Source organism: Homo sapiens, chromosome 3, assembly GCF_000001405.40.
Source record: "Homo sapiens chromosome 3, GRCh38.p14 Primary Assembly".
NCBI classification, from domain to species: domain Eukaryota; kingdom Metazoa; phylum Chordata; class Mammalia; order Primates; family Hominidae; genus Homo; species Homo sapiens.
Window position 1 is genome coordinate 152,682,962 of NC_000003.12, and position 7,641 is coordinate 152,690,602.

Genomic DNA, 7,641 nt, shown 5'->3' on the forward strand with positions numbered 1-7,641 from the left:
AGCATCTATTTTTACTCATCTCCAATCTATTATTCACATGTTTACCCAGTGATCTATTAAATAAACATTCATTTGATCATGTTGCTCTCATGCTTAAAACTCTAAATAATTTCCCATTACTTTTAGGACAAGATTCAAAATATTTAAAATGGCCCACAAAGTCTTACCTTCCTTTCCAAGCAATTATTATTTCTCTTCTGCATCTGGCTCTATGCATCAATCATGAAAACTTCCTTTTGTTTCTCAAAGAATGCTCTTTCTCACCTCAAGGCCTTTGTACACATTTTAAAATTGCATTTCTGTTCATATTAAGGCAGAAATAAATTATCCACATGGCTAGAAAACTAAAGCAGCACAAAAATCTGTAAAATAAAAAACTAAAAGCTTTCCTCTCACTCCTCCATGTCACTCTTCTCCAAATAACCAATGTCATTTGCCTCTTGTATATTTTCCTAAAGTGTGTGTGTGTGTGTGTGTGTGTGTATTTTGGGAGACGTGGGAGAAATGGGTGTGCTCTATACTCTGCAATATAGTACAATGATTAAAATACAAATTTAGGAACTTGCCTGCCGAATTCGAATCCCATTGTCTCGGGATGTTTAGGGTGTTGGTTTTCCAGCCAGAAACCTCTGTGGCCAGTGGTGCCTTTGCCCAAGTTTTCGCTGAGGCCTGCTGGGCTCATTCTGCCCATTTGGCCTGGCAGGCTGCACTCAACTCATGCTACCAGCCCAGATCCCACAACTGCTAAGGGTGAGCCAGGCGCAGAGTGGCAAGCAGTGTGTGAGCGAGCATGGGGTCCAGCCACTGTGCACAGCCAGGCATGCCAGCTGCAGTGGGGTGGGCAGCTGCAGGCACTGGAACAGGTGCCGGCTCCCTGCAAGGCTGCGGCTGGACCAGGCATACCACAAGTGGCTACCACTGCAGGCACCAGGGAATGTGGTGGCACCCAGAAGCTTGGAGTTGCCAGGAATTGCAGAGCCCCAAAGAGGGAGTCATAGCCCTGGCTCAGGGAGTTCCTAGGTCTGGGGTCACCGAAGGGCTGCAGTTCTTCTCTTCTTCTCATCACCTGCAACATGGCAAGTAGGGAGTGTGTTTCAGCCCTGTTTGTGTTACAGCTCTTTCAGTCCCATCATTTGGCAGGTCCTGAGTTCTTGCCCTGTGTCCAGGAGGAATGAGGTATGCGGACAACTGGAGGGTGAGCAAGGTGGAGAGGTGCCTCATTGAATGACAGAACAGCTCTCAGGAGACCTGAAGTGGGTAGTTCCTTTCCACAGGCAGGTCATCCCAATAAGCACCCAGCTCTCAGCAGAGAGGATACCCATAGTGGGTATCTCCTTTCTGCAGGCAGATAGTCCCAAGTGTCCAGCTCTCAGTGGAGGGAGACCCAGAATGGGTAGCTCCTTTCCACAGGCAGGTCATCCAATGAGTGTCCAGCTCTCAGAGAAGAGGGGACCCAGAATGGGTAGCTCCTTTCCACAGGCAGGTCATCCCAACAAGTTGGGGAGACCCAAAATGGGTAGCTCCTTCCTGCAGCCAGTAGTCTCAATGTCTGCGTGAGTCTGACTGAGTCCAGGATTTTTATGGGCTCAGAAGGGAGGAAGTGCATGCTGATTGGTCAATGGGTGGCCATGGGCAGGCCCAGAGAAAGCATCATAAGTTCTCATTCTGGGCTGTGGACTCTACCTGGAACTGACAGCTCAGCCTCCAGGCTTCAGGCCATCCCTGGCTTGAAGAGACCAGGGACCCACCCCTTTCTGCCCAGGAACCCGTCTGCCTCCTGCCATCAACATGTTGTCCATGGTGTCCAAGCTGTTCATGCCAAGGGATGCCTGCAGGCCCATGCTGAGCTGCCCTCAGCATCACTCCTGGCCTCTCTCCCACAGTCATCAGTGCCTGTAGTTAGGAGGGGACTGAGGAAGTGGGGGGGCTGGCATGTCAGCACCACCCTGAGTGCATGCACACTCAGCTGGGTTGTGACAGCACCCAGGCTCGGCCACAAATTTGCTCCAAAATTGGAGTGGGCATTGGAAGCAGGGAGAGGTCAGGGAGCAGGAGAAGGCACTTCTGATCCTGTGAGGGCAAGGGGGGTTTCCCGGGCTCCCAAGAGTGCAAGGATGCCCAGGTCAGGAGCCGTGGCTGGGTGGCTGCAGCTGCACCCAGAAGCTTGGGGCTCCCACCCTGCCAACTCAGTAGGGGGCGTGGCTCCCACCTGTTCCTGCCTCCCACCAGCTCCATAGAGAGCACAGCCCTGGATGCCCTTCCCCTGCTGCAACTGGCATCCCTGCAGTGGCTGCTCCAGACAGGCTGCTGGGAGCATCACCATCTCTGCCACAAACTTGGCTTGTGACCTTAGGAGCAAGTTACTTATTCATTCTGGGTCTTAATTTCTTTATCTGTAAAATGAAAAATCAGTGGGCTCTGCTTTATAAGTTGTGAATTAAATGAATATATATACACACAAAAAAAAAAATACACAGAGCCACATGTAGCTGATGCTGATTCTGCCCATAGCTGAGTATATTTATTTTGTTAATGTACACTAAACTTCAAAAATATCTATAGAATAAACACATGGGCCTAACATTTCTACTGCAAGATGGTCCCAAATCCAAATCCCGTTTATCACTGAGCCTCCAAAGGCTCAGTCTAACTGGTGGTTATATTCTGGGTTAGCTAACAATCAGAAAGGTCTGGACATTTCCTTTACCAGCAATGTATACTTACTTTAGCAAATAGGTACATGTCCTTTTGAGAAAGGAAAATGGAAACATTATAAAACATATTATTGATGCTGCTATTATGGCTTTTTCTCAAAGTGGCTGGTCCTCCCCTTCATTTGTGAGCTTTGAGTCTAAGAACTGTCCCAGGACTCAGTAACTGTCTACTTACTAAGAGGCTTTGGGGATTTATTATTGTGGGTCGAGTCAGTTCTCTGCTCACCAGGTGAGTTACATGTCCCAGACAGAATCTTGGTGAAATCCTATGATCCACTTAGGAAGCCTATGATCAATTAGCCACTACCTATGATTTCTGTAGATAAGACCATTATGAGAATTACTTTGGCTCTGCTGCTTGTTATGGTAACTACACCCCTTCTGCCATGCTGAGATTCCTGCAGTGTCTCCCACTAGCTTCTTCAACCTGTAAAAAACCTGCCACTTCACACTTTTTAAGCACTTTGGTGCTTTTCTCACCAGTGCATTTATCATGAAGACATAAGTTTCTGTCAACCCCTTTGAGGGGACACAGGGAGTGGGTTCATTGGTCACATATGGCACATATGATCTAAGACTTAGAGTGCCTTCCTTTGCCATACACTGATTATTTTTCTCATATCAACTTTATTCAGTGTGGATCACCATTGAATATAGTTTTTAGTCAACTGAGTGTTACTGCTGTTCAAGCTGTCATGATGAATTCCAAATCTCTGATGAATTCATATATATTGATGAATCTGACTGATGTAAAATTATATATTGCACCTTGGTCTAGCACTTTGGAATTCTATTGTCTCAGATATTCTCTATGTTTTGTCTAGAAAAATTATCAAAGTTTTGCAATTTCTTTGCTAGTAAGCTTTCTCTTTCAAGGTACAATTTGTGTTTATGACCAAGAGCCACATAGGGATTGATTCTACTTACAGGTCTAGGAATTTTAAAGATGGTGGTGGTAAGGCATAAAAAGACTTAACTTCCCATTACATTGTCTTCAAGCAAAGGAGGAACAAATTCTACAATAGACTGGAGATAAGGTGTTGCTTCTGCTAGCGAAGCATTCTCAGTGGAATCTAGGAATTTTGGATAGTCTGAGTCATCTAAAACTCTCCCATTTCAATTAATGGAGACCCATTCTTTCCCAAAGAATGTCTTAATTTTCCAAAGGAGACTTAGTGAGTCTGTGAATTCATTCTAGGTTACCTCATGTGGCAAATTATCTATTCCTTCCCTTGTGCACCATGGGCTACCCAAATCCTGTCCCTAGTGCTAGTTAGTTTTCGAAGCCATCGGCACCTATCTAATCCAATCTTAGTTTTCCTTAGTTCCATGAAGTGTGTTGCCCACACATTTTTTGATAGCCATTTCTGGATTACTCAAAGCTCTTAGTTTTATACAACAAAAGTTGAACCTGGGTGTTATTTTAAACATGATTTTTCCTTTTATTATATTTTGCATTGGGTTACTTTTTGATCCAACCTATTGATTTTTGTAGCTCTTTGTTTTAGCTGCTATTCCAATATGCAATTATTATATATGCAAACATTGGTAGTTTTCTCTTCCCCTTCAGTGTTTATGTCTCATTCATTTCTCTTGTATATTTGCTTTTGCTAATATTTACAAAACAATTTATTTAACGGATGTACATAATGGAGGTATTAGTGGGCATTCTTGTAGTGTTTGTGCCTTCTACAATTGGCTCACTATTAAGTTTATTGATGCTGACTTTTGGATTGAGGGAGATACATATGCAATAATAATTATAATGATTTCAAAGGTATCTATACTTACTCTACTAAAGATGTTTATGAAGTACAGGCATACCTCATCTTATTGTGCCTGACTTTATTGCACTTCTCAGATAACATATATATATATATATATATATATATATATATATATATATATATATATGTTATCTGAGATACACACACACACACACACACAGAGTCTTGCTCTGTCACCTGGGCTGGAGTACAGTGGTGCAATCTCGGCTCACTGCAACCTCTGCTTCCAGGGTTCAAGCAATTCTCCTGCCTCAGCCTCTCGAGTAGCTGTTATTACAGGTGCCTGCCACCACGCCTGGCTAATTTTTGTATTTTTAGTAGAGACAGGGTTTCACCATGTTGTCCAGGCTTGTCTTGAACTCCTGACCTCAAGTGATCCACCCGCCTCTGCCTTCCAAAATGTTGGGATTACAGGCGTGAGCTACCATACCTGATGATCCAATATTTTTTTCAAATTAAAGATTTGCAGCAACCCTGCATTGAGCAAGTCTGTCAGCACCATTTTACAAAAGCATGTGCTCTGTATCATACTTTGATAATCCTCATAATATTTCAAGATTTTTAATATTATTATATCTGTTATGGTGCTCTGTGACCAATTATCTTTGATGTTACTATTGTAATTGGGGGACATGACAAACTGTGTTAATATTAAATGGTGAACTAATCAATACATGTATATGTTCTGACTGCTCTACCAGCTGTTCTCCTATCTCTTTCCTGCTCCTTGGATGTCCCTATTCCTAGATAAAAAATATTGAAATTGGGTCATTTAATAACCTTATAATGGGAAAAAATGAAAGATAGGAGGCAGGACTAACTTCCAGCTCCCATTCTGACAGACAGAGTGGTGTGTAGAGACTCACATTGTGAATTTCTGCTCCAAGAACCACACAGGAACATACCAGGGAAGCCAACAGAATCCATAGACCTTTTGAAAGGGTGGATTGTCACTGCAGGCTCCATGGGACAGCGAGGAACTGTGAGTCGGCTTACTTTCTCAGCTGGGAGGCTCGTAGCCTGGGGCAAATTCTCAGCCTTGCTCACCAGCTGCCTGGAAATAAACTTGGTGCTGTTGAGGGGGCATGGTGGGAGTGAGACCGGCCTTTCACGGTGTGAGCTCTGTGGGAGCTGGGTGAGGCCTGTGGCTGCCAGCTTTTCCCACTTCACTGGCAACCTGTGTGATGCAGCAGAGGCAGCTATAATCCCCCTGGGAACATAACTCCATTGGCCTGGGAACCACACCCACATCCCCCACAGCAGATGCAGCAAGGAGAGTCTGAGCTCAGACATGCCTAACACTGCCCCTACCTGATGGTCTTTCTCTAGCCACCCTGGTAGCTGAAGAGAAAGGACATAACCTCTTGGGAGCTCTATGGCCCTGCCTACAACCTGAGAAACCTGAATACGTATCCAAAGGCAACACTAGGGAAAATTTGTATCCTCCCTATACTACCGCAGCTGATGAGCTCTTGAAAGAGCCACCTCCTGGCTGGCCACCAACCAACACAAAACTGGTGCACTCAACAAAATACAACTTAGAACCCTCACAGAGTCCACTTCACTTTCCTGCTACCTCCACCAGAGCAGGTGCTGGTACCCATGGTTAAGAGACCTGAAGATGTATCACATCACAGGATTTTTTGCAGACACTCCCCAGTACCAGCCCAGAGCCTGGTAGCTCCACTGGGTGTCTAGACCCAGAAGAGAAATAACAATCACTCCAGTTTGGCTCTCAGAAAGCCCCATCCCTAAGGGATAGGAGAGAGCATCACATCAAGAGAGGAGCCCGAGGGACAAAAGAATCTGAAGAGCAGCCCTTGAGTCCCAGACCTTTTCTCTGACATAGCCTACCCAAATGAGAAGGAACCAGAAAAACAATTCTGGTAACACAACAAAACAAGGTTTTTTAACACCCCCCAAAAAATCACACTAGCTCATTAACAATGAATCCAAACCAAGATGAAATCTCTGAATTGCCAGAAAAATAATTCAGAAGGTTGATTATTATGCTAGTCAAGAAGGCACCAGAGAAAAGTGAAGCTCAGCTTAAAGAAATAAAAAAAAAAGGATACAGGATATGAATGGATAAATCTCCAGTGAAATAGATAGCATAGATTAAAAAAAATCACAACTTCTGGAAATGAAGGACACACTTAGAGAAATGCAAGATGCATGGGAAAGTCTCCACAACAGAATGAAACAGGTAGGAGAAAGAACTTCAGAGCTTGAAGACAAGGCTTTCAAATTAACCCAATCCAACAAAGGCAAAGAAAAAATAATTTAAAAAATGAATAAAGCCTCCAAGAAGTTTGGGATCATGTTAAATGACCAAACCTAAGAATAATTGGTGTTCCTGAGGAAGAACAGAAATCTAAAAGTTTGGAAAATGTATTTGAGGGAATAATCAAGGAAAATGTCCCTGACCTAGCTAGAGATTCAGACATCCAATACAAGAAGCTCGAAGAGTACCCAGGAAATTCATCACAAAAAGATCATTGCCTGGGCACATAGTCATCAGCTTATCTAAAGTCAAGACAAAGGAAAGAATCTTAAAGCTGTGAGGCAAAAGCATCAGGTAATCTATAAAGGGAAACCTATCAGATTAACAGCAAATTTCTCAGCAGTAACTCTACAAGCTAGAAGGGATTAGGGTACTATCCTTAGCCTCCTTAAACAAAACAATTATCTGTCAAGAATTTTGTATCCAGTGAAACTAACCTTCATAAATGATGGGAAGATACAGTATTTTTCAGACAAAAAAATACTGAGAGAATTCACCACTACGAAGTCAGCACTACAAGAACTGCTAAAAGGAGCTCTAAATCTTGAAACAAATCCTCAAAGTACACCAAAATAGAATCTCCTTAAAGCATAAATCTCACAGGACCTATAAAACAATAACACAATGAAAAAAAGAAAACAAGGTATACAGGTAACAAATAGCATGACGAATAGAATAGGACCTCACATCTCAATACTGACATTAAATTTAAATGGCCAAAATGCTCCACTTAAAAGATACAGAATGGCAGAATAGACAAGAATTCATGAACCAAGTATCTGCTGTCTTCAAGAGACTCATCTGACACATAAAGACTCACATAAACTTAAGGGAAAGGGGTAGAAAAACATATTCC

General features: G+C 43.2%; 1 annotated feature.

Moving 5' to 3' along the window:
- Nucleotides 5,655-6,183: an enhancer, noted in NCBI's record as "H3K27ac-H3K4me1 hESC enhancer chr3:152406405-152406933 (GRCh37/hg19 assembly coordinates)". NCBI's record gives its function as "activates a minimal SCP1, AML or CMV promoter by ChIP-STARR-seq in primed H9 embryonic stem cells {active_cell/tissue: H9 hESC(primed)}" and the evidence as "EXISTENCE:reporter gene assay evidence [ECO:0000049][PMID:30033119]".